Source organism: Homo sapiens, chromosome 14 (genome assembly GCF_000001405.40).
Source record: "Homo sapiens chromosome 14, GRCh38.p14 Primary Assembly".
Taxonomy (NCBI): domain Eukaryota; kingdom Metazoa; phylum Chordata; class Mammalia; order Primates; family Hominidae; genus Homo; species Homo sapiens.
The window spans coordinates 33,193,684-33,221,329 of record NC_000014.9 but is presented as its reverse complement, the minus strand read 5'-3'; the positions used below and the strand labels follow the sequence as shown (position 1 = coordinate 33,221,329).

At 37.7% G+C, this 27,646-nt stretch overlaps 1 protein-coding gene across 19 annotated transcripts in view; it reads right to left on the bottom strand.

The window, feature by feature from the left end:
- Positions 1-27,646, bottom strand: part of NPAS3 (neuronal PAS domain protein 3) — an 869,389-nt gene that overhangs the window by 582,844 nt on the left and 258,899 nt on the right. For 12 of the 19 annotated variants that reach the window (XM_005267991.4, XM_011537069.3, XM_017021585.2 and 9 more), the window contains one exon: positions 5,904-6,148. In XM_005267991.4, the coding sequence (XP_005268048.2) occupies positions 5,904-6,148 (245 nt within the window). Of the gene's footprint in view, positions 1-5,742; positions 5,794-5,903; positions 6,149-27,646 lie in introns of all 19 variants that reach the window. The other 7 variants (XM_017021582.2, XM_017021583.2, XM_047431678.1 and 4 more) reach the window with 1 other exon arrangement.

The following is a 27,646-nucleotide window of genomic DNA, read 5'->3' as shown; positions in this document are numbered from 1 at the left end:
CAATGTGCTTCCCTGCCCCTTGACTTTGGTCTGTGCCACGTGATCTGCTCTGACCTAACGACTGAACAGAAATGACACCATGACAGTTCTGAGCCACACCATTAAGAGACATTGCTTGTTTTTGTTCACCCTTCTTACACCTTTGCCTCCATCAGCATGAAAGAACTACTTCCAAATAGGTGCTGCCTTCTAACATGGGACAGAGCTAGGCTGAACCCCCAGCAAGGAGCCAAGCCCAGCCAGAGCTGTAGCACAAAGCAGAGGCACCCGCTGAGCCCAGTCTAGACTTGCCAATTCGCAGCCTAACCGCAGCTCCATGAGTAAAAGCTTGTTGTTGTGTGCCACTTAGATGTTGTGATTGCTTGTTCTCTGGCAATAGTTGACAAGGACACCTGAATATTCACATATTCTCAGCCATCACTCTCAAAAATATGCTTTCTTCAAGTCACTGTCTGGAGCTGAGGGTAATCCTGAATGCTCCGTTGTACCAGATGCACTGAAAACAATAGTGACAAGCCAAACTCTTGAACAGTGGCATGCAGCAAGATACCAGCAATGCTATATATAATATTTTTCATGCTGAGTTAGATAATAATTCAATGATCAAGAGTTCACCTTTGTAGTCACCAAAGCTTTTCATGAAAAAGTGTAAAACTCCAAAGAATTAGAGTCTCAGAGACATACTCTCTCATCATTTAGCCTGCAATTGTCAGAAAGCCCTTCCTGCCCAGTGTCAAAGATGATAGTCCTTGGGAAATGCGGTGATATAAACATTGCTTGTCCTATCATGATGTAAAATAAAGTAAGATAAAAGGTTAGTTCTTAAATGAGCTCCTTAAATGAAGTCATAACTTCATTAGAAATATACAAAAGTATAACAGCATATAATTAAAAAGCCTTCCTGGAAGCATACCTAAGTAAAGGCAAATACATCACATTTCCATGTCCTAGTAAAACCTGGCACTCACTCCCAAAATAAACAACAACGAACACTGGCAGCTCAGCCTCTGAATTGTTCTGTTTCCACTGGGTACCCACCACCTACTATGGATTGGGACAAAACAGAAGTAGAGATCAGAGCAGGGAGTCTGTTCCTCAGTCTGCTGAGGATGATGGAGGTAGGAAGAGGAGTCAAGCAAGAACTGAGTTACCATCTTTGCCCTACTCGTCTAGCCCTGTAGGAGGCTCCTGCTCAGAAGCTAAGGTGTACAGTCTGGGTTCTTCCCTTTACCCGTGCAAAAAGACAAAAGAATGTCATCGGCTGGGTGTCCATGGCCATGTACTGATTCTATGAACTTTCATCTCACATGGTTTTTTAGTAATGAGGAATATGACCCTTGCCCCATAGCATGAATGTCACTTGGTAGAAGTAAATGTATGTCAGCACACAGGAAAATGCCACAACAGCAACAGGAAAATCCCTGAACTGCTTAGACCAAGATGACCTATCACTCAGTCTTGGAGTCTCTACCTTTCTATTGAAACAGAATCCATTTTATAAAATGCTATCTAATTTTGGGGGACAATATTATAACAGTAGTTTAGTGTCACTCTGAGTACGACCTGTACTCAGTTACACTACACGATGATTTAAAATAAATCCATTAAACATCATTGCTTTAGTAAGAGTCTAGTCTTTGGCTAGGGATAGCTAATATGTTGCTTAAATACAAGCCTGCAAGTCTCTACTCTCAGAAACATCTCCTACTTAATTCACAATAGATGCCCGAAATAGTGAAGGGAAATTCTATGGAAATAGTAAAGTTCTTCCCTAATGTGTTCAGTCAATTTTAATCACCAGATATCTTGCATATTTTTCAACTGTTCCTTTCCAAAGACTAAGAATTTCTTATACTTTACATATTTTAGCATTGTTACCTGTCACACACATAGGCAAATTGTTGTTTAAAAGCTGCAATGTTTAAATTGAAATAAAACTTATGACTGCAATGGTAAATATTCCTAGATTAATAGAGTTGCAGCAGACGACAGACTCTTAAAATTGACTGAAGTCTGTGATATTAGAAAGACAGAAAATTTATCTAGTTTTAGCAAATGTCAAATCAGTGGCTATTGCTTTAAAGATTAATAAAAGATATAATGGTTTCTAGATAGCCTCTAAATAGAGATTACTATGAATGGAGAAGTGATTTACCAACAGTCACCACAATGAGATTTCTTTAAAGGTTACAATCATCAGTTATTTAGCTGAAACACTGCTGAGAATGCCTGGTCATTTCTTGAATAACGCATAATGTTCATTGTAGATTTGATCTGTATTATAACAACACAGATATTTCTAAAATAAGGGAAAAAACTATCTGTTACCTTCCAATTGCTTAACCTATCATTTCCATGAAGTAATTGACTTGGGACATATTACATACTGTCACCTGAGTGTTCTTTCTGCAAGCATAACTTGTAATAATCTGTATACAATGGGAATCACAAAACAAACTCATCAACCTTTATGGACTGTTAAGAAAACATGTGATGAATACTGCACAGGGCACAGTAAAGGACCTTTCTGAAGCCATAAATTAAAATGATTAAATTTCTATATAGTTGTGTGGGACAAATTTAAATTTAAGCTTTGAAATTTAATTATTAACATGATCAACTCATCACATTAAAAAATGTTGCCACCACAATGTAAGTACATTTCATACGAATTGCCAAATGCCTTTAGGTTTATTCAAGAGATTGCTTGGAGAAGCATGAAGTATAATGTCTATCGTTTTATTGCTGGATTATGAACTGCACTTCACATGATGCTGCAGGCTATTTATATAAGCTTGTTTATCCGTATGAACGTCTTCAAGGGCACAACATAGAAGACCTTAATAAATTAAAATGAATTTCTTTTGATGTTATTGTTTTATGAATGTTTGATCAGAATGAATAGCAGTTTTGCATTAAAGAACTAGAGTAAAGCAATAAAATGTACATATATTTTACAGTAGAACCAGTTTATAGAAAGTGCTCCTTATATTTCTAGCTACTTTTGAGAGCCGGGGTAGACAGTAGGGAGTCACTATGTTTACATCTTCATTATTTCTAACCTATCACCAGTTTACTAATAGTGAAAGTGAATATGTACCAACTTAGATGCTCTGCCACCATCTGGATGGAATTTTAAATATAATAAAGTCTGTTATCTCCTTCCAGGTTTCTAAACATGCATCTTCACCACCCTGTTTTTTCTCAGTGACACTACCATGCCATTCCAGAAACTGCAACAACGTGGGGGCAGCAACCACATTTTATCTTCTTTTTATACATCTTAATCATACTAAGAAGTTAAAGAGTGGAATTGAAGGCCACAAAATAAAAATGAAGTATTAGAAACAGTCTGAAGCTGAGAAAATTCTCACCTAAAACGTCTGATGATGGTGATAGAAAACAAATATTATCTGTAGTAATGACAAGAAGTGATAGAGCACTAGACAGAAGGCAAGAAAAGTGGATTCTTGCCTTAGATATGCTAACGCTGAATTGCAAAGTCGTTTCCACTTAACACTTGCCTCATCTAACTATCCCTCATAAAATGAGGGAATAATGACATGTGATCTATACATTCGCATGCCTAAAAGGCCATGATTCTGGAAGTAAGCTGGACTACTACATCACAGACAAATGGACAAATAACAGAACCATCACATTTTTCTACTTTGGTAGCCATGACTGCCAAGAAAGCCTATTGACTACAAACCCCTTTAACAATGAAAGTAAACAAATAAAAATTTTCTGAGTTATGTTAAATAAATACAGGTCCATTCCATCATTTCATTTGAATAATATATTTTTCGAACTTATATATTTGAATAATTATTACATGTTTTTCACATGGTATGGTTCCTAACCTGTTACCCTCATCCTTTCATCTTGTGTGATCTGGAATAAAGATAGCCTGTGCCTCAAACTAGAGTGGAAAAAATGTATCTAATGTATATTTATCACAATTATATTTACATCTTTAGCTTGGAAAAATTTGGTACTAATATCTGTAATGTGGTTTGGCTCTACGTCCCCATCCAAATCCAAATCTTGTCTCTAATTGCATTAATAATCCCACGTGTCAGGAAAGGGAGCTTCTGGGAGGTGACTGGATCATGGGGGCCGTTTCCCTTATGCTATCTCGTGATAGTGAGTTCTCACGAGATCTGATGGTTTAAAAGTGGCAATTCCCCTTTTGCTGTCTCTTTCTTTCTCTCTCCTGCTGCCATGTAAGACGTTCTTTGCCTCCCCCTCGCCTTCTACCATGATTGTAAGTTTCCTGAGGCCTCCCCAGCCATGCGGAACTGTGTGTCAATTAAACCTTTTTTGTTTATCCATTCTCGGGTAGTTTTTTATAGCATAATACAATCTAGAACATGAATTGGTGTGTTATTGAATTGATATCTACATGCTCAAGGGCAGAAGGGATGTAAAAGGACAACTCGAATGTGCCTTGCTTTATTTTTCCTGGGCTACCTTTGACTGACATCCTGTCCTTGAGAGGTACCTCTGTTGTGTGTTCTCCTCAATCTTTAAGTGTCATTCTTACACTCTAGAGCAGTGGTCTTCAAACTATAGCCTATGGGACAAATGTTGTGGCTGCTGCCTATTTTGTAAATATAGTTTTATTGGAACACAGCCACGCTGTTTTGTTTACATATTGTCTATGGCTAATTTTATGCTACAACAGGAGAGTTGAGTAGCCCATTAAGCCTAAAATATTTACTACATGGCCCTTTACAGAAAATGTTTGCCAACTGTTGCTCTAGAAGAAAATAACCTGTTACAATTTAAATTATCATTTTCCACCTCTAATGTGCATAACACAATCCCCAAGTAACAAATTTACACTCTCACGGACACATATATGATCACAGCTCTTAGCACAAAATTGTAAATAATAACTGCTTTTGACCCTTCATTTCAATCTGAATCCTACAAAAGATTACAGCTCCCGACTAGTACCCTTTCCTATCATAGCCAAGAGTACAGGGACTTTTCCAAAGGTAGTTGGCAAGATGTAACAAAAGAAGCTAATTCTTCCCTAGAGGAAGTTGCCTGCACCTCCTCCAAATGCCCAGTTTTATTTCATGCTATAAAGTGTCTAGATACACGATTTGAACATAAGAACCTAGCAGATTATTTAGGCCATACACCTTGAATAGAATACCCTTAAAGACAGAAAACCAATGGCCAACACCACATATACATAAATAAATATATCCATGCATATTTAAATGCCAAAAATGCCATAAATTATTAGGAATTTCAGGAACACACAAGAAAATACCTGTCTTAGGCATCAGAGTGAGAAAGACCTAACATTTAAAGATACTAAGTTGTAAGAGTAACTGCATCAAGGATTTGAATAAAAAATATATGTTTATATTTACAACTTTTAGGTAATATGTATATAGAGAAAATTGAAACACTAATACATAGATTGATTTTCATTGGTCAATAAAATCATTAACTTAAAATGCCTGCTAAAGATGGAAGAGCTATGCTCCCTGCCTTTCTTTGGTTACTTAAGGCAGAAAATGTCAGCTCTATGCTTTAACAAATGTGTCCATACCCCACTCATGAAGAAGAATTTGTATGTAATGGTAAAACATACATTAAACCCAAGAAGCATTTTAATGTGTCATTTCATTTTCATTTCTCTGAAATCTTATATAAAGTGACAGAATTTTAGGCTGATAGACTTTTTGAAAATAAAATAGAAAAATAAGAGGTTTATTTCACCTTCACATGGTGTCTTTCTCATGCAGAGTTCAGATTTCCACATTTGTATCCCTTTAAAGGATTTGATATGCAGGAAAAGAAGAAAGGATGATGGTAAACATTTTGTCTTACAGACCCCTACAGACCATCATATTCAGACTGAACAGTGACCTAAAACTTACCTTTTACTGATGTGTTAGGTGGAGGGCCTTCCATTCGCAAGTTCCACGGAGGGTCCCCCTGGTTAGCAAAGTCCCTCATTTTCAGATAGCTAATTGTAAGTCGAATGATGGATGCCTTGTCGAGCTGGCTGGTAATGGCTGCAGGAAGAGGCAACAACTTGGCCAATTCATAGAACTCAAAGTTTTCTTTTCCCCGGCGGGAGCGAGCAGCATCTCGGGATTTCTCCTTTCTCAATGCTTGTAAACTGAAATCAAAGGAGTGAGAATGTGTGGTTTAGAATATGTGACTCTGTCATCATTCAAATACTGCTTTCTTTGTATTTCCTTTTTTCCCACCAAAATTCTACCAAAAACTATTTCAAAACTAGAGAGTGACAGTAAAATGAGTTCCAGAAAATGTCCACTAAAGCCATAAACTCTAACTCTGGCCTTACATTTTGTAAACTCAAGTCCAATGAGTAAAAATTGTGTTTTACTTGTTAAGGTTTTTTTCCTTCAATTGTCCATGCATTGAGGTGTATTTATTGTTTCTAAGACCTAACAGAAGGTTTACAGGCGTAGCTTGATATTATCAACTAGAATCAATTTATAAGTTGGGCTTACATTCGTGTATCTATTTCAAACTAATACTTCTGTTCATTTAACTTTCATCAGTATGGGATCTTCATCAAAAGGAACTATTTTGAAAAATTCATTTCAATTATAATCTTGGGGAGCAGAAGGTAAACACGAATACAATTCACCTTGTCAGAATCAACAAATATGTTTCCAGCCCTCAATAAAGATCACAGCACGTTCAGTTAGATGAAGAAAACATCATATTTAAAATGAAGATTTCAATGTAATTTTATAAATGTGCTGATAACTGCTTGATAAGAGCATACTTATTTATTAATGGACATACATTAGTAGATTGATTTTCTAAGATACTAGAGAATAAAATATATTGCCCAAAGAAGTCAAACTTTAGGAAAATATAAATTTAATATTGAAAGATAAAGCGCTGTATGGGTTATTAAAATTTATAAACATTATAGACATATTACTTCCCAGAAGAGGCAACAGGTGGGATCCAGCATTTTCCTTCAACTATTCATGTGCATTTCTGTTTGAAGTTTGCTCACATTGCTGAGGGCAGAATCTGGCACAACTGAAGTTGTGTGTGAGCATCTGACAGGAGAATTCTACCTGCTCTGAATTGCTCTGTATTGTGTCTGATGAGAAATAAATTTAAAAATCAGACCACAATGATAAGTAGCTAGATAATATTTTCAGTATCAAGGTACTATTAAAATCATTTTTATGTATGCATTTTATTGAATTCTGAAAGCACTGTAAATATTTGAGTCTAGCATTCTTTTTTTTCATTATGAAATAATAAGAAAGAGAGAAACAAGGAAGGAAGGAAGACCAAAGGAAGAGATCAAAATTGGTTCAGCAGCAAGGCTCCGTTCTCTTTTAATATACTATGGTGAATAATATTCCCTATTACATTATAGGATTCCTGACATTGTTTTCTGGTGTAAACACTGTATTCACTGCAGAAATCACACCTGAAATATCTTACTGAATATCTATGTAATCTAAGTAATGCCATAATGCTCTGGTCAGATACTTGCTAGGCTAATACCCAACCAGTTTTATGTTTGCTCTATTAATAGTCTACATTAGCTAACAAATGTCTTTCTCAGAATTAGACAAGTTAATGCTATCATTTTCAGAGTAACAGCAGTCTCAGGTGACAAAATCTTTGCCCCTTGATACATCTCAAGTGATAAAGTCAGGCAGAAACATTACTAATTTACAAGGAAAAGACATGTTTTGTCACTTATTTCCCAATATCTGGGCCAGCCTCCATTCAATTCTACAAGTGCTCAATTTTAGCTGGTTGAAAGCTACATAAGTGAGAGATGTCTTAGAATCTGACAAAGCGTAAGTATAACTAGGATCCAGGTTAACACCTTAGGATACAAGAATAGTTCGAATTCCTCCCTTTACAGAATAAAAGTAACTTATCTAACAACATTTAAGTTAGCTGTGCCAAAAGAAATTATGTCTCTGGACATATTTTCCCTAACACTTTTACATAGGGGAAGGAGCAGCGGTTCAAGTTCAGTGCTTTATTCTTTTTGTGTTCTTGCAATTAAATACTACTCCAGAAGGTGGGCTAAACTTACAATTTTTTTTTGGTCCAGTAAGTGACTATGATGGGGCTCTAGAGCAGGGGTTACGAACTCAAGGGCTTTCAGGGTTCAGGCAGGGAATGTCAGTGAGTGAAGAGGCCTGATGGGGACTGGGAGGAACTGAAGGACAACTCTGGCCAAGAGGTAGCACAGTTTGAGCCAATGCCACTTTAGGGAAAGTCATGCCTGGTGTCACCACTTCTAGAGGACAACATCTGAACTTTTATATGCCATTTCCCAATTTTGGTATTTTAACAAATTAAAGCTTTAAAAAGTCATGCAAGCCAAATAAAACATGTCATAGTCAAACATGGATCAGGGACTCGTTTTACAATTGGGTAACAGTTTGGACAGACAATTATAAAAGTAGTTTCGCGTGATGTTATAGGTAATTTTCCTTTATTCATGTCACTCAGAATGATCACGAATGTATTTATTTGTTACTTATGTAATATACCGTAATATTTATATCAGGAATTTATTCAACTGAAGCAAAGTAGAAGATTAAGCAATTATTCTGAAATTGATATTAATGTATAGGCTTATCAATAATCTAAGGAAAAAATTCATCTTCATATGGGAGACAAAGCCCAAGATCACAGGGATCAACTCAATAGGCTATAAAGGATAGATACTAGGGAGATGGCTTTTCTCTATCCATTCAGGGAAGGGAATAAGCAGACACTAATGTCTTTGGATGCCTTGCCTAACATGTGTTCTGATGTTTTACTACTTTTCTAAAATAGCACTGGTCAGAATTTACTTTATGTTTTTTTTATCCTACCTCCTTGTTTTCTTTTCTCTACCTTGTCTTTCTCTTTTTTTAACTCTAACACACATGGTGTCCCCCTATTAGAGTAATCTTCTTGGCAGTAATCTTAATAACAAAGGATTTCCATGACTCTCACATCACATCATTATGCAGGGACCATAGTTTAGAAGACTTTCAGAATGATATCACTGTGTCTGTAATAAGTAGTAATTGGTTTTGTGGGCAACTGCAATAAAGTACAGTCAAAGGATTATAAAGGTTGTTGAGATGCTGGTGTAACAGATGAAGACAAAGACCTTAAGACAATGACACTCTAGATTGTGCATTAATCTTTCACTCGCTTATGTAAAGTAGGGCCCAGTTATAAGCAATCCTCACATTGAATTAAGAACTATATTAAAACCCAAAATAAACTTTGTATTTGTACGTTTTGTTCTAAACGAAAGTATTGTGGTTGTATGTCTAGAGTACTAAAGATAGAATAGATTAGTTGTACATGAGTAAAATGTTATAGTGCAGATCTCTGCCATCTAAAATACGATTAAACTTCAGACCCAAATATTTACTCCCTGGGCCTAAACTTCCCATTGCTCTAATGTTCTTGCACTTAGATTTGAATAGCAGAAAAGAGATTCTTCATGAATCCCCAGCAAATGAAAATTTCAACTCTTTTTGATGACTACATTATCATCCTCACAAATCATTATTACCACCAACAAAAACAACGTCAATAATTTCAAAACACACACACACATATATGTATGTATGTATCTGGATATTATATGCATTATTGTGTGTGTGCATATAAATATATAGATAGATAGATAGGAGAAATAGTAAATTTTCAGATTCTCAAATGTAGTCCATCACACCAACCTAAAGGCTAATAATCTAATGTCTGTCATTTTGGGATTTTTTGAGATGGAGTCCCACTCTGTCACCCAGGTTGGAGTGCAATGGTTCGATCTTGGCTCACTGCAACCTCCACCTCCCAGGTTCAAGTGGTTCTCCTGCCTCAGTCTCCCAACTAGCTGGGACTACAGGCATGCACCACCGTGCTCAGCTAATTTTTCATGTTGGCCAGGCTGGTCTCTAACTCCTGACCTCAAGTGATCCGCCCACCTTGGCCTCCCAAATTGCTAGAATTACTGACGTGAGCCACCACGCCCAGCCTAATGTCTATAATTTCTTCTTATAAGAGAATGGATTGTGAAGCTAGCCAGCCTGGGTATAAATCCTGGTTTTGTTATTTACTAATTATGTACATTTGAGGTGACTTCTATTGCCTCACTTTTTCTCATCTGTGAAATGGGATAATACTCTACTTTATAAAGTTGTCGTTAGAATTAAGTTAAATGAGTCTTTTTTAAATAAGATCTTTACAATGGTGCCTGACACATAGTAATGCTGTATAAGACATGTTAAATGAAAACCTAAGCTCACTTCACATTGATTGTTCTTTCCTTCTAATGCCTGCAATGCTCATTAATAATGTGCACTCTCTTCTCACTAATATAATTCCTATTCCTTGGTTCTGACATAACACATTTTTCCTTTTATTACAGTCCTCATTTTGCCTATGGTCTATTCATTGTATACCATAAGTGTACTTAGTGAGTTGTTCAAATAAAAATATATTTAATTAGTGGATGCTTAAAGATTTATAAATTTTTTTGTGCAGGATCATAAGGAGCCTTTTTTTTTAGTACAATAACAGATAAAAGGTGACATTCAATTGCAGGACAAGCAATTTTGTTTATATTACAAAATGAGTATCTAAACAGCTGTTACAAGAACAGATTACTCAGGAAGATTGTGAAAATGCTATTGAAGGTTTTTAAATGGCAATGATAATTATTAATCAGGAGTATATGTGTACTTCTAGACAAGATGATCTTTCAAAAGATCACAAACCTAAAAGTTCTCTTGAAAATCAGGCAAAGCCCCAGATCCAGGACCATGGAGAGCTCACCCAGGACAAGTGGTGCCCAGAAGTGGGGAAGCTGCACAGCAGCTGCCTCCTCAACTTCTATTTTTGGGGGCAAGGTCAAATCATGAAATTCTTTTCAAGCTAGAAGCCAGCAAAATATATCCCCAAAAAAGTTTGAAAAAAGGGGTGCTACTGCTATCAAAAAGAAAATATTATGAAACTGCCTAAGAATTTGCAATCTTTGTGAATCTACCATGAAGCTGGATAAGAGGTCAATTGTTTACTGGGCCACTTGTCCACAGTGGGAAAAAAAGATAGCTTTGGACTTGATGACTTATTTAATTAAAAGAGGTAAGTTATCCTTTGTGGTTGATCAAATTTAGCTTTGAAAAATTGATTACTTCGGTTCCCCACTTCACAGAGAAGGTTATAATGATTATGGAAATAATATAGCTGTACATCCACAGAGGATAACAAGGATTAAAAATAGGTAGCCACAGAGTACAGAAGCCAACTTAACCAAATGTTTCTTCCTCTTCAGTGATTTCTTCATAGTCATATTTTAATCAACTTTTAAATAATTTATTTTTATGAAGGAGGTTCAGATACTGACCTTATTGACAGATCCACACTATTTCTATGTAAAAATCCTTCTCCAAGCTGTAGTTTGAACACATAACACCTTCACGTAAACTTTTAGAATATAATATCTAGTCTTCATAAAAGAGCATGGCAGGTTTTGGTTATCTAACTATAGGGTAAAGGAGAAGCAGGGTCAAAACCATTTTAAATTTTACCTTTTTAAAGTACTTCTAAGGAGCCAGACAGACAGGTTTTTATGGATTTTCCTACTTGTTTTGCTTAGGAGAACCCAGCACTACATACTTCTACTATTTATCAATTAATCTGGCATGCAGCCTCAAAGGAAGAAGGTCGACCTGTATTAAAAATGCAGCCATCAAAAATTCATCAAAGGCTTCAGCATTTTAACTCATGAACCTTTGAACACCTGCATACTTGTCAGATCTCTGGTCGTAGTTAACTGTGAAATCTATAGTTACTCCAGTACCTACACTTGCCCTAACATGAGCCGAATGAGGAGCCTTCCCAGGGAAAAAGTACAGTAAAGATTCTATAAGCAATGCTTGCCCTTCCTTCATTACTTTTAGTAAAACAGCCCACCCCACATTGACATTACATAGAGCTCAAAGTCAATCAAATCAGCTGACTTCAAAGGAAAAAAATTCTTCCAAGAGTATTTTTTTTTGGCATGGTTGTAAGTATCAGCTTTCTTATAAGGTAACGGTAACATAATTGAGAAATGCACAAACAACTATTATCTGGTAGGATTATGCACAACAAAGATCACAAATTGAAGTAGTTTAATGCTCTCCAAAAAAGATAATAATTTCAGAAATCTTCTTTAAGGTGTAAAGAAAGCTGGATAGTATACGCTGGAAGTTAAAACTGGAACCTTCAAGTTCAAGGTAAGAACTCTGCTGCTTAACTAATGCGCTGCTCATAGCTGTCATCATTAATTTATGTTAGCCTCTGTAAACATCAAGAGTATAATAGGCCAATTTCACAACTAAATATAGATGCACATTTTGCCCTTATATAAATGGCAGGTTGCTGCTGTAGATCATCACTGCAGAAACACGTCAGTAAAGATGCACTGTTTGATGGTCTGATGCTCACACAATATATAAAACCAGTTGTAATGGTTGTTTGGAAGCAAAGTGTAACATAGCAGCAAAATTTCATTTGTTCCACAAACTCAGGATATATTAAGCTTGGCTGACAAAGACTGTTTGATGTGCTAAATCAGTTTGACCTTCATTCTTGCTTTATTTTTCTCATTTAACATGTGAAATGACCATTATTTTTCCACATGTAGGAAAATATGAAATTGATTGCTTAAAAAAATGTCAAAAAACATCGGCAACTGCTAACATTTGATAAAGTATCAACATCAAGATGTATACTTAGAGTTTTTAAACTAAGATATACTCTGATGGGATAATCCTGACCCATTTGACTTGTGGTAAAATAGATCAAAAGAGTAATTAAAGCCATTCAACTGAATGCCTTCCCTCATCTTCAGAAAATGCCTTGTGTATGTTTGAACTTAATAATTAAATTAATTGGTTTTAGCCAATGAGCATTTTCATTCTTAACACTTTAAATAAGAGGATTTAATTCCAGAATGAGTCATTAGAATAGTAATAAAGAACGCTGAGAGGTCTGCACAGTCCTTTTCAACTGATGTTCACCTTGATTCAAATAACCCTTGAATAAACCACAGCAAGACCAAACTATTCATTGTATGCTTTGGTGTCTGCCAAAAACCTCATGAATCAAAGTGTTTTGTTCTTCATTTTCCCCCAGAACTTTAAACTATACAACTGGCAGTTCCATAATAACGGAAAAAAAAAACTGCAGTTTTATCAAGTAATTTCTTTCCACCCAATAAATTGCACTTTACCTTGAAGCAACTTGTATATTTCACACCTTAAATTTCTATTTACCAAATCAGCTAATCACTTCACAATTGAACTCAGAACAAAAAAAAATTATCAATTAAAGTGGTTGAAACTCCTGCAAATTATCATTTAGGAATGAAGTAATTGCTTTCATCAGGGCAGAAAAGCCCGCCAGAACAGAAATGTCACTTTAGATTAGTGTTCTCACTCCTGAAGCTATGGATGACACAGCTGATATAAGACTAAATGCCAAGACCAATCAATTGCTTTTGTGGCTCTGCTCTGAGCTGCTGTAAAAGGGGCCATTTTCTAGGATCTACTCTTCATTATAGTAAATGCTATCTCCTTGGTAACATAATTCCATTTCTCATAAATTCTGTCTGAGAGCATTGTCCTAACAATGGATGTTTGTGGAAAAGAATGCTGTTGGTTTAATGCACAGAATTAAGTGTGAATGGCTGTCAAACTGCTATAGTTTACTAGTTCTTAAACATAAATTGAAATCTTATACATTAAAAAGAATTCTTGAGGATAAATGAATGTCCTGAACAAGGGTAAAATATTGTACTTGAAGGTTCTGTGCCACTGGTTTACAATTTGGACTATTCTAGTATTTATCTGTCCTGTACATTAAATCAATCAGTTCACACTCAGAGATGGGTGAACACTTCACTTACTTTCTCAGCAGTGCAGTTTGCAAATGTGAAAACTCAGAAGCAAATATGGACTCATTAGGCAACTGCATGCGATTTGTGAATAGCCACAACTGTGTGTGTGTGTGTGTGTGTGTGCGTGTGTGTGTGTGTGTGTGTGTGTGTGTGTGTAATGTTCTTTGAGCTGAGAACTTCCTGGAAAGCATCCAGATCTTAATCTGTATTGTTCATCCCCCTGAAGTTACAAGAATCTGGGTTGCAGGCTCCAATTAAAAGGAAATTGAAGAAGCTAATACAGTGAGAAAGCAGCAATTCCCTGCACTGCTCTCTTCAGGTCGCAAGTTTAGAAAGAGATTCAGGATCACGGGTCTTTGCCCGACATGGGATAAAGGCTTTCTCATCCTGGTGAGCACACATGTGTAACTTCCATTAACAGCAACAAGAGTCGTGAGCACACATTGAGAGGAAAGTCCACAGCTAAATGTTTGAAAGGGTCAGAGCATCTCTGCAGAAAGGAAAAATCAGAGGGAACTGTGGGTACCCTTTGACGGCAGGACATTTCACTGACCATGCAAAGGACAATTGCTGGAATTTCTACCACTCCAAAGAACTATAGTACTATTTTTCATAATATCAATAACAGGAAAGGATACATGTTATTTCTGCTTTTTCAACAGTATACAGCACCATCAAAGAACATCATGGAACCTAATATAAACATGAATATGTTTGAATGCTTACTATATTTCAGTCAAGGTCCAAGTGTTTTCAACATCATCTAATTCATGGTTGCCAATATCAGCAATGAAGGGGAAAACTGGTAACAGTGACTATGGAAGGTAGTAGCCTACACTAGATATGACTGATGCTAAAAACAGCATTGTTTTCAGCCACTATTGGCGGGGGAGCACTGTATGAGTTTTTAAATTTTCCCTCCAACTTTCTACACCCATCCCCCAAAACTGGGAGTTTTCTTGTTTTAGAGAGGGCTTTCCCTGGATGCTGGACTTTAGGTGCTAAAAGCAGGACATTCCTGGGCAAACCAGGATCCTTGGTCCTCCCATAAATCTTACTGTCTCACAAGAAAATTAAAACAGAGAGTGGAAAAGTAACTTACCTAAGGCCAATGATGGTTGGAGATGGCATTTGAACCTTGGCCAGATAACTCAAGTCCTTATCACTAATGTGCAATATTGCCGCTATAGGAATAAAATCCTCATGATTCCCTTTTCTCTATTATAATTATATGACAATTAAGTCACTGATAAAATTTTTATTTAATTTATAATCACCCATATAAATTTCATAATAATTGTTATGAAAACTTAATTCCTTAATGAAATATCCAATAAAACCCCTATTTTCAGGCTTATAAACACCTATTCCAATTTGGAGTAGATAGATTTGCTGTTAATTGCTATAAGTCCCAAACTAAATTGCTTTGGAATTCAAATTCAAACGACCTTTCTAGTGGGAAAATTCATTTTTTCTTTTAATTTTCCTTAAGTGTGATTTCAAACACTTCTGAAACACAACTAAGTGGAAGAAAGCTTCTGAAGACTTTCCAGCTTGATATAACACATTTGGAAGGGAGAAAGCGTGCTTTGACAAGTTTAAAGATCTTTATGTATGAAAAATTTAAGTTATGGTCATATGAATACTAGCAAACATAGCACATGCTTTACTTGACACCAAGGAACACACCATTATACTTCATCCACATTCCTTTGTGAAACAGAGATCACTAAATAAAATGGTTCCCCTTTTTAAACACTACAGCTGAGAATACAAGTTCACCAGCCTCAAGAAACTGTATACTCCTTCTCTCACTTATCTGTTTTTTTAAGACACATTGTTATTTCACCTTTCATCCAGATTCCAAAAGCACATGTATGGTTGCCAGGAGCCTAAATTATTACAACTTCTAGAAAACAATTTAGCAACTACATATCCAAAGGCTTAGAAATTTGTCGACTTTAGGCCCATGCTAACTTATAGAAAACCTTACGAAAAAATAACCAAGTATGTAAACAAACATATTGCCAAAAAGGATATTTACTGCATTTTTAATAAGCTTTAAAAATAAAGTATGGGATATTCTCAAGATACTGAACAAGGATCTTGAAAAATATTCAATGGCTTAGAAAATACAATATGTTCAACAATAACTAGTTTATAAAGCAGCATGTGTTGAGATCATACAATTATAGCTATATATCTTTATCTATAAAGATATAGAGATAATATATATCCAAATCTGAATGAACTGCTACAAATCAAAATATTAAGATTGTTTATTTCTACATGGCAAAACCATTTCTTTTGCATATAGGGTGTGGAGGCTAACTATTTGCTGGACTCTCTTCAGTAAACTTTTTAATATAAAAGTTACTTTCTGAAAAAATGAAAATATAATTTATTGGATCCAAATTGAGCATGAGAAGTGCCTTGATGCTTAAAGGCATTTTTTTTTCCAATAAATGAGTGACCAAATAGTGCTATCAAATGCCACCCTTTCCCTACTTTTTGCAATAGTAGGGCCTGAGAAGTATTTGGAGAAAATGCTTGGCTTGGTCACGCCTCTAAAAGAGAGCTGGAATTGGAATAGCTGGGAGAAGTCTTCATCCCTTCTCAAGTTATCCCACAAGGGTCTTAACCAGACGATTGAGTCCGTTAGAATGCAGCTAGGGTTTCTATGTCCTTTATGGTCCCCTCGGAATCCCAAAGCAGTGCTTTGCTCAGTGTATCATTTGCCGGCTGCTGGTTGGGGATGGAATGTGATTCCATTCAGTGACTGACTTTTTCCGTGTGTCACATCCTTGAAAACCTGACGGCAGCTACAGGCTCTTACGGAGGAGAAAACGTATACAAATCAACATATTGCACAGACTGTGCTTCCTGAACCACGCTCTCAGATCCTGTCCCAAGTCTGGGTTAAGAAGCTGCCACAATAGATGGTATCTTGGGGTCTCTACCAAGCTTTGCAACACAGACCTAACTACTGTAATTAGAATCATTCTTTGCTTTTTCATTCACTACTGTACTTCCCATCTCCAGTAGGTTTGGCCCTTGCTGGTAGGGTGGCTCTATGGCATGAGACTACATATATAAAGAGCCTAAATGTTTTTATGTGGCACGGATTACCATGTAAGATTTAATTTGAAGGGTCATGATATTTCACACAGAAACGTTTAAAGTGAGACAACATAGGAAATGCCTGTTTCTAGGCTTCCATTACTCAGGAACTAAGTCTTCCCTGGACCCTACACACGTTTAAAAAAGTGCTCAGCCCATTTATGCAGACAAAAGACACATGAAAAAATGCTCATCATCACCGGCCATCAGAGAAACGCAAATCAAAACCACAATGAGATACCATCTCACACCAGTTAGAATGGCAGTCATTAAAAAGTCAGGACACAACAGGTGCTGGAGAGGATGTGGAGAAATTGGAACACTTACACTGTTGGTGGGACTGTAAACTAGTTCAACCGTTGTGGAAGTCGGTGTGGCGATTCCTCAGGGATCTAGAACTAGAAATACCATTTGACCCAGCCATCCCATTACTGGTTATATACCCAAAGGATTATAAATCATGCTGCTATAAAGACACATGCACACATATGTTTATTGCGGCATTATTCACAATAGGAAAGACTTGGAACCAACCCAAATGTCCAACAATGACAGAATGGATTAAGAAAATGTGGCACATATACACCATGGAATACTGTGCAGCCATAAAAAATGATGAGTTCATGTCCTTTGTAGGGACATGGATGAAGCTGGAAACCATCATTCTCAGCAAACTATCACCAAGGACAAAAAACCAAACACCGCATGTTCTCACTCATAGGTGGGAAATGAACAATGAGAACACTTGGACACAGGAAGGGGAACATCACACACCGGGGCCTGTTGTGGGGTGTGGGGAGTGGGGAGGGATAGCATTAGGAGATATACCTCATGTAAATGACGAGTTAATGTATACATGGCACATGTATACATACATAACTAACTGGCACATTGTGCACATATACCCTAAAACTTAAATTATAATAAAAAACAAAAATACATAAATAAAATAAAATAAAAAAAGACATGGTCCTACTAGCCTCAGAAATTAAGTAGCACAGGAGTAAGAGACATTCTTTAGGACTTTTTTCTTGCAAACCAAAATGACATGGGCACTGAAGTCATGCATGCCTTGCCTTCAATCCCTTCTCATCAATTAAAATCTGTGCCATCATTGGCAACTCACTTTATTTCATGAGCTACAATGTCTTTATCTGAAAAGTAAATACAGTAATGTTTAACTTGCAATGTCTTTGTGACGATTAAACAGTGTAATGTGTAATGTAATGTCTAAGAAATAGTAGTCAAGAAAGGCCACATGTCTTCACATAATGGGAACAGACACCATAAAATTGGGGAAGAAAATTATATTTATATGTCAGAAAAAGACTTTTCTTACGATATTATTCAAAATATACTACAAAAGTTCTAACAGAATAAGTTCTTGAAAATTAATTGCAAGCTGCCCTGAGCTTAAACAAAGAATTTTCCAGTAAAAGGGAAAATATCACTTTGAAATAATGCAGACTAATGATACCATCTTTCCATGATTACTTCAGAACCAACTGAAATAATCAGAAGAAATCATACATGTGGGTGGGTTTATTTTTCAAAAAAAAAAAAGACATGAATATTTGCTTAAAATTGTTTTTTATTTTAAATAAAAATATTTATCTCAGTAGTTAGGATATTAATGAGCATACTCAGTGTAAGAAATTTTCTCCAGATTTCTATCACTACAAATAAAACTTTATTATTCTTCATTTAAAAAAAAGGCTCAGTCCTCTGATAGGCTCCTATTCCTTTATTAGGTGCTTAGTCCTCTCATAAAAATCTGCCTTTGAGGAATTACAAATTCGTTATTTTAACCAAGTCTACTTATGTAACAGGATGACAAATATCGGTAACATTTCTCTCTTTTTTTTTTTAAGACAGGGTCTTACTCTGTCACCCAGGCTGGAGTGCAGTGGTGCCATCTTGGCTCACTACAACCTCCACCTCCCAGATTCAAGCAATTCTCCCACCTCAGCCTCCCAGGCAGCTGGGACTCTAGGTGTGCACTACCACACCTGGCTAATTTTTGTGTTTTTCAGTAGAGATGGGGTTTGGCCATGTTGGTCAGGCTGGTCTCAAACTCCTGACCTCAAGTGATCTGCCCACCCCGGCCTTTCAGAGTGCTGGGATTACAGGTGTGCGCCAACACACTAGGCCCAGTAACATTTCTATATAGAAAACAAATGTTTAAAATATGTAACATAAAAATAAAATAATTAGGCACATTTTAAAAATTTATTGCATGAACTTGCAAGTTGCTCATGGAAAAACAAAAGATTGTATCATAATATAAGTACATACAAAACTGAAAAGTTTCAGTTATCTTAATTGAAAGTCAGCACTGAATTTCCGGATTTTGAACAAATCATTAAAGTAACATTAATAGTAACATTGATCCCAACTGTTGAGAGTTCTCAGATGGAGGAAAGCACATGATTTGGAAGCTGATGTAAAGAGACTACTTAATTGGAATGGGGCAATGAAAGCCAGCAATTTTCTCAATGTGCCCCCATCACAAAGCATCCACAAATAACTTTAGTATCAGAACCTATAATCCACTGAATAATTGGTCGAAATACACAAAATGTGTACTACATGATTGAACATTTCCCCCTGAACTGAGAGCTCAACATGATCCTTGACCAAGGCAGATATCCTGTTGCCTGCCTGTCACAGGACGCTATACATGAGCCCTTTCTTAAATATACCTATCTTTTCTCTGCATTTTATTTGGTTTTGTTTGGGCTGAGATATTCATCTCAAAAGGTTTCTCCTCAAGGTGTCCTTTTGAGTTATCAGGCAACAAAAGATCACTAAGTCTTTAGCTTCACTTCTGAAAACGGCAGTGATTCTCAACAGCATCTTTACAAAGACAGTGTGGACTTCAATGAGCCACCAGGGGCAATGGGGCAACATGGCCATGTTCCCATGGTTGTAGAACTGAGTCACTTTTCAAACATACACACACACACACACCATTGTTAGGGGAGTGAAGGGGAGTGAATTTTATATACAGCTGCCTCTAGCTATAACTTCACCAATTAGTCAACACTTCCAAACTTCTTAGAGGTAGTATTTGAGCTTTACTAGCATTAGATAAAGTTAGCGTTTTATTAAGTGTCCCAGGATGGTCCTTCAAATGCCTTCTGTCTTTCTCTCTCATTTTCTTCTATTTGATTTCTTCTCAGAATCATTCATTTGCATTAGTCATATCTCATCTCATAAAATTCATATATGTAAGAAGAGTGGTATAGTTTGGTTGGTTTTTATTCGTTTTCTGAAATGGTTAGACTATTGTAAATGGATTTAAAGTAAGGGTCACAAAAACTCAAATACTTGCAGGATCAAAGAAAATTATGCAAATGAGCAAAGATGACTAGGTGAAAGAAAGCAGTGCAAGCATGATGATTAGTGGAAACTGGATCTCACTGCTGAATAGTAACAGGGAATAGTGGGTCCTGTGGAAAACTGGAAAGCACCTGCCCAGCACATAGGGGATATTCATTATTCATGAAAACATTTGTTACTAGATTGGAATGTGGCCCCAAAGTTGCCAGATCTTCCTTTCAGAAAGAAGCCAAAAATCCAGATTTTTTAATGTAAAATCTTCCAGTTTTTGAAAGCACTGGCATCTTATTTTAAAAATGAAACTCTTTGTAGGCCCCTTATGATTCTCATTTCTCCTGTGGCAATTAGCAACCTGTGGTTTAGTGCCAATAATAACCTTTGCTGGGAGTAGGATTTAATTATGGGGCACATAAAGGTATGGGTATGAAGCTTTTCAATAAAGCCAGGTGACATTAAAGATATGGCAAAGAGGCATAAAATGGAGGAAAATGAAGAAACTGAACTTAGAAGAAAAGAAACCATAATTATTAACAGTAGTTTCCTCTGAGTGATTGTGTTTCTGCTTTTACTTTTCTGTTTTATAAATTTACTATAAACTATCAAAGTTAAACTTACTATTTTATGGGGCTTAGTCTATTAGTAAAAGTAGCCCAGAGAGTGGAAAATAATTATATGTCTATATTTAGGTTGGTGCAAAAGTAACTGCGGTTTTTGCAATTGCAAGTAATGGCAAAAACCAGTTACTTTTGCACCAACCTAATACATAGATCCATTTACCATGTTTAAACCACACAGTTTTATTGAACATTTAATCACAACCAAAAGTTCAATCAGCTCACTATGGTGACATCATGTGTAAGGAATCTTTTATTAAAAATTAAAATAGCCCTTTAACAATGAGTCAAATGTAGTCCCCTCAAAATAAGTGATTAACAATATCTTAAATGTACATGCTAAACAAGGCTTTGTTTTTATTAGTGCAATAATGTTGAGAGACAACGTCTTGCATATAGAGTATGTCTTCGATAAGTACGTGTTGAAAGATGATTATGCTGCTGCTGATCTGAATGTCCTTAAAAGTCATGATTAAAAATAGTAAACAACACAGCCAGTAGTAGTGCTACTGAAATTAAACCTACTGTAAATTAGTCCTTGAAGTGGTATTATAGTGAAAGGAGGGGAGGAAGGGAGGGAAAGAGGGAGGGGAAGAAGAAGGGGGAGGGGAAAAGGGCAGGGGGCAAAGAGAAGGAAAAGGAAAGGTAGAGGAAGGTAAGGAGGAAAGGAAGGTAAGGAGGAAAGAAACAGATACATTCATAAATTTTTTCCTGTCAGAAATATTTAAATTCTCAAAACAGTCTCCTCCCCTTTCTACACTCTGGAGGTGGTACTAGTGAGCACCAAACTGAGGTAAACTGAGGAAAGCAGCAGCAGCCAAGAGCCTGTCTAGCCTCTCTTTATAATCATACACAGTAACATTCAGAATGCCGAGTCACTGAAAATCCTGCCTACATGGAAGAACCATACAATAGGGACAGGAGGAAATTTTTGTAAAAGAGAATCCTAGACCTTCACATTTGCCAGATCTGTGTGTCTATGCGTAATCAGAAATTTTTCAAAAAGTAGACAGAGGCAGTGAGAGGTGACAACGTGCTGGAGGCCCTCGCTTGCTCTCAGTGCCTCCTCGGCCTGGGCGTCTGCTCTGGCCACGCTTGAGGAGCCCTTCAGCCCGCATCTGCACTGTGGGAACCCCTCTCTGGGCTGGCAGAGGCTGGAGCCAGCTCCCTCTGCTTGCGGGGAGGTGTGGAGGGAGAGGCACGGGCAGGAACCAGGGCTGCACACGGAGCTCGCAGGCCAGCGCAAGTTCCAGGTGGGCGTGGGCTCGGCGGGCCCCACACTTGGAGCGGCCAGCAGGCCGGCACCGCCGGCCACGGACAGTGTGGGGCTTAGCATCTGGGCCAGCAGCTGCAGAGACGGCCCTGGGTTCCCCCAGCACTGCCAGCCCATCCACGCCGCGCTCAAATTCTTGCCTGGCCTCAGCCACCTCCCTGTGGGGCAGGGCTCCGGGACCTGCAGCCTGCCATGCCCAAGCTCCCCCACAGTGGGCTCCAGCGTGGCCCGAGCCTTCCTGACAGGCACTGCCCCTGCTCCATGGCGTCCGGTCCCATCTACCACCCAAGGGCTCAGGAGTGCAGGCGAATGGCGCAGGGCTGGCGGGCAGCTCCGCCCCCGGACCTGGTGCGGGATCCACTAGGGGAAACCAGCTGGGCTCCTGAGTCTGTGGGGACTTGGAGAACTTTTATGTCTAGCCAAAGGAGTATAAATACACCAATCAGCACTCTATGTCTAGCTCAAGGTTTGTAAATGCACCAATCAGCACCTGGTATCTAGCTCAAGGTTTGCAAACGCACCAATCAGTGCTCTGTGTCTAGTTAATCTGGTGAGGACTTGGAGAACTTTTATGTCTAGCTACAGGATTGTAAATGCACCAATCAGCACTCTGTGTCTAGCTCAGGAATTGTAAATCTGCCAATCAGCACCCTGTCAAAATGGACCAATCAGCTCTCTGTAAAATGGACCAATCAGCGCTCTGTAAAATGGACCAATCAGCAGGATGTGGGTGGGGCCAGATAAGGGAATTAAAAGCAGGCTGCCTGAGCCAGCAGGGGCAAACTGCTTGGGTCCCCTTCCATGCTGTGGAAGCTTTGTTCTTTTGCTCTTTGCAATAACTCTTGCTGTTGCTCACTCTTTGGGTCCGCACTGACTTTATGAGCTGTAACACTGCGAAGGTCTGCAGTTTCACTCCTGAGGCCAGTGAGATCACGAACCCCCCACTGGGAGGAATGAACAACTCTGGACGGGAGGAACAAACAACTCTAGACGCACTGCCTTAAGAGCTGTAATACTCACCGTGAAGGTCTGCAGCTTCACTCCTGAAGCCAGTGAGACCATGAACCCACCACAAGGAAGAAACTCCGAACACGTCCGAACATCAGAAGGAACAAAGTCTGGACACACCATCTTTAAGAACTGTAACACTCACCGCGAGGGTCCGCGGCTTCGTTCTTGAAGTCAGTGAGACCAAGAATCCACCAATGTGGGACACAGCAGTTGCTCCAAAGAGAACACATAAGAGATTACAGAGAAAGGATTCAAGATGGCAGGATACTTACAAATCACTTAAGGTGAAATGTTAAATCTCTCCAAGATTTGGAATGACTGAATAAGGCAACTATCTAGAGATGTCTTCTGCAGTTTGCAAAAGAGTTTTGGAACCATTGTTTTCCTGTAGCTGAATCTCTTCTGCTTTAGGGTTTGGGTTTTGACCTTTTACCTTTATTTTTTAAATGTGGCTTTTCATTTTTGCTTCCATTACAGGAGCATCTGTGGCCTTCTCTTTTTTTTTTCTGACAATATGCTCCTGGTCTCTGGCAGTATACGCTTCCCTCTGGGATGGAAGCTTACAGCTTAGGTGAAGGGGACTGCCATGATGTCTATGTGCAGTGTCTGATGCTTAATGAAATTGATCAGAATGGCACCATTCTAGTCAATTTCACTCACAGCAGGTGGGAGCAAGAGACACATTCCTATGTGAGGCTCAGGTACTGCTCTTCATCTGTAGCTTCTAGGACTGACTGTACAGTGGATCTCAATTGAAAAAGAACACACACACACACACACACACACACACACAGCCTGCTGGAGTGCATCCCAGAGCAGACATGCTACAATTTGCTTCCCTTCACCCCTGTATATGCGATACAGTAAGGAATGGTGTATGTTCAACTGTAGGCTATAATTTTATTGATAGACTCTGATGACATTGTAAAATCCATAAGGGCAAAGAGCAAGTGATTTGCTCATGTCACTAGAAATCCAATACAAAATTACAGCCTTCATTTGGAAGCCTTTTTGGAACTTTTTTTTAAATCAGTCATGATGCATAGTTATCAATACCTGTATTTGGACCATGATGACAAGGGAGAAGAAAAAATACCAGGCCAATTCTTACACAGAAAATAAACCCAAATTATTGAATTGCACAAGGATACCTGATTTGGCAAATCTATACAAATTGTGAGAGAGATGACAAGCAGAAAATGAGAGCACATTTGACTCATTTAACAAAGACTTCTATAAGCATTCATTTATATGTTACTGTGTGCTAAATGTAAACATGTAAAATCAAGTTGGGTCTATTATATTGCACACTACAAATGAGCTCTTGAACAATTTGTACATGAAAGGCAGGAATAAGGAAAATAATGTCTCTTTATTCTATGTCAATGTGCTCAACTTTCACATGAGCTCAACAGCTATTGTGTGTCCTTATTTGTATAGCGGAGATTTCGGTGAGGAGGGTCTTATCCCGCTGGAGAGCCACCCATCTATGCGTTTTCAAGGCATCAATCTAACAGATCCTCACATGAGCCAGAAGGCATACAGAAACATGTCAGTGACAAGGAAGCTCTACTACTCAAAAGAGAGAGATGGCCTGTTGAAAAGTAGAGTTTGCTTCCCCTCTGTGGTCAGGATACTTACATCCTTGTCACGAGGGAGCTAACTGAACTATCCGAGACAGGTCCATCTTTGCCGTTCATGCTATCAGTGGGAGGTCCTGGATGCAACTAATGTATGTATAAAAGTGATTTGTAAGCAGACCTAGAATAAAGAAATTGAAAGACAGGTCATCTGGAAAATAAGTAGAGCTAATTGGGTAGGTACAGATGGTACACATAGGAGGCTATTCAATGTAAGGAAAAATATGAGAAAACTCACAGTTATTCATTAGAATCAAATACGATCTACAAGTCATGGGACCTTAGCGCTGGCCGAACTCTGCCAGTAATAGCTGTGTGACTTCAAGACATTTAATTTCTCTGACTCTGTGTTTCTTCACCTTAAAACAAAAGGATTTTTCTCTAGGACATCTTTCCATTTGAAGATCCTATTTTCATTTGTGTTTTTGTCATACAACATTAGTGGAACTACTGGTCGTGTGTCTGGCGTACATTAAAGTTATTTCCCATTTACCTACAGTTTTAGAGTGGTGTGTGATCCCCCATTGTTCAGCCTTCAATAAGTAAATATTCAACCTGACTTTCCTTCAGGATCCAGTGAGTTTGCATGGTTATTAAATTCACAGACAATACATGAAAACTGGCTTAACCAAAATCACTGTTTAATAACAGTAATATAATTTCAGCTCTACGCTTTGAAAGGAAAGCCTAGAACTGATAAGGCAGAGCACAAAACAGTTACTTTTAGTTAATAACAAATATCAGCTGTGTAAGCTGAAAGAAGAGTGTGGTTTATACAAAGGTTACAGCTCTGTTTTAAACATTAAATTAAAACTCTTGTTTTGGCCAGGCATGGTGGCTCATGCCTATAATCTCAGCATTTTTGGGAGGCCGAAGCGGGTGGATCACAAGGTCAGGAGTTCAAGACCAACCTGGCCAACATGTGAAACCTGTCTCTACTAAAAATACAAAAATTGGCCGGGCGTGGTGGTGCACGCCTGTAATCCCAGCTATTTGGGAGGCTGACACAGGAGAATTGCTTGAACCCAGGAGGTGGAGGTTGCAGTGAGACAAGACTGCGCCACGGCACTCCAGCTTAGGTGACAGAGCAAGACTCAATCTTGAAAAAACAAAAGAAAACAAAACAAAAAAAAACCCTTTTTTAAATTTTTTTTTTTTTAGCTAGTGGGTGGGAGAGGTTCAAATGATGGCAAAGCTTGCATTTTTTAAGTATGCCTGTTTACTCTCTATGTACAGTATAATGCCTTGGAACATTCCTACAGAATGTTAAACATCTGGATCAAGCAATCAACAAATACACGTTGGTTGCTGTGTGACATCAAGCTAAATCCAAATCAATCAATTATCTGTATCTAGTCCACACCAGTACTTTTGACCATGGGTAGATACAAATGCAACACTCCTATTTGTTCCTAAGGTAAGTCATATTTATACTAGTTTTTAGTTTGCAAAGCTGATCCTAAATGCTATAGGCTGATCCTAAATGCTACTTCTTCCTAAATGCTATAGGCTTAGATCTCATGGGGTGGTTCAGCCTCCAACTGACCAGAAAGCAACTGCCATATCACCTCCAACCCCTATTTTAGCCATTGAAAACCTGAGCGGCCAAAGTAGTGGCATGACCATCCACATTCCACCAAGTGACTCATGCCTTTTTTACTTATTCAGAGAGACCTGACTACTGGAATCGTATCAGATAGCATTATTCCTCTCATTGACACGTAATCGAATTTTTTGTTACTAATAATACTTATTATAACCACAAACAACATAAGCAGGTACCAGTGTATAATATCTGTAATTACTATAAATACTAAGAAAAAGGCAACAAACCATGTGGACCACATGTTAAAAGTGAAATCTCCTTTCAACTGAAATACGTAGAGAATTTTTAATAGTATAAACACTGTTTAAGTTAATTTCACTTGATCTTCTGTAGACTGAGGCAGCACATTTTGAGTAGCTTATGGTCTTGATTTGTTAGTGAGTAATATTTCGCTCAAAGTTCCAAAAGGCCCAAACTCTAAGTATTCTAAGTTTGGGTAAATGAAAGTGGAAGCTTAGATGGAAAAGAGTACAAAAGAAAAGGAAGCACCTTTACAAAGAGCTATTATACCTGATAGGCTCCATACAAGACAGTTGAAATGTGAGCTTCAGTATTCAAAATAGAAAGGATACAATCATATGTCTGGTTAACTTACAGGAAATAGTTCCAGAGACAATTTTACACTAACTACAGTGATTTGGGCAATTTTTAAAAATAATACCAGCCAATTTCTCTCCATTATACTCTGCTGGCAGAAAATAAAACATTTTTCTTTGAAATGATTGCCTTTGGTTTCGTTAAATCATGCATTCTGTCAACATGTGGTCACCATTTTTACATGATCTTTCTGCTTCCCTAGAAAAGAATGAATTCACAGTCTGAACCCTGATATAAATATGTAATCTTGCAACTGTAAAGGCTTCTTCTATTACTGCAAAATGAAGAGATAAGAAATAGAAGTGATATCAAAAGAAATGAAACAAAAAAAGGTGATGATGACCAAATAAGTATAAAGCTCAGCTTCTTGCATCCACTCCATAGCCAGATGAAGAAAATACTCATGTTAATCATTTTTCTTACTGTAACACAGAGATGGTGTGAAATTCATTTCAAAACACTAATATTTGAAAATACATTTGAGAACCCTATTTGTGCCAAGAA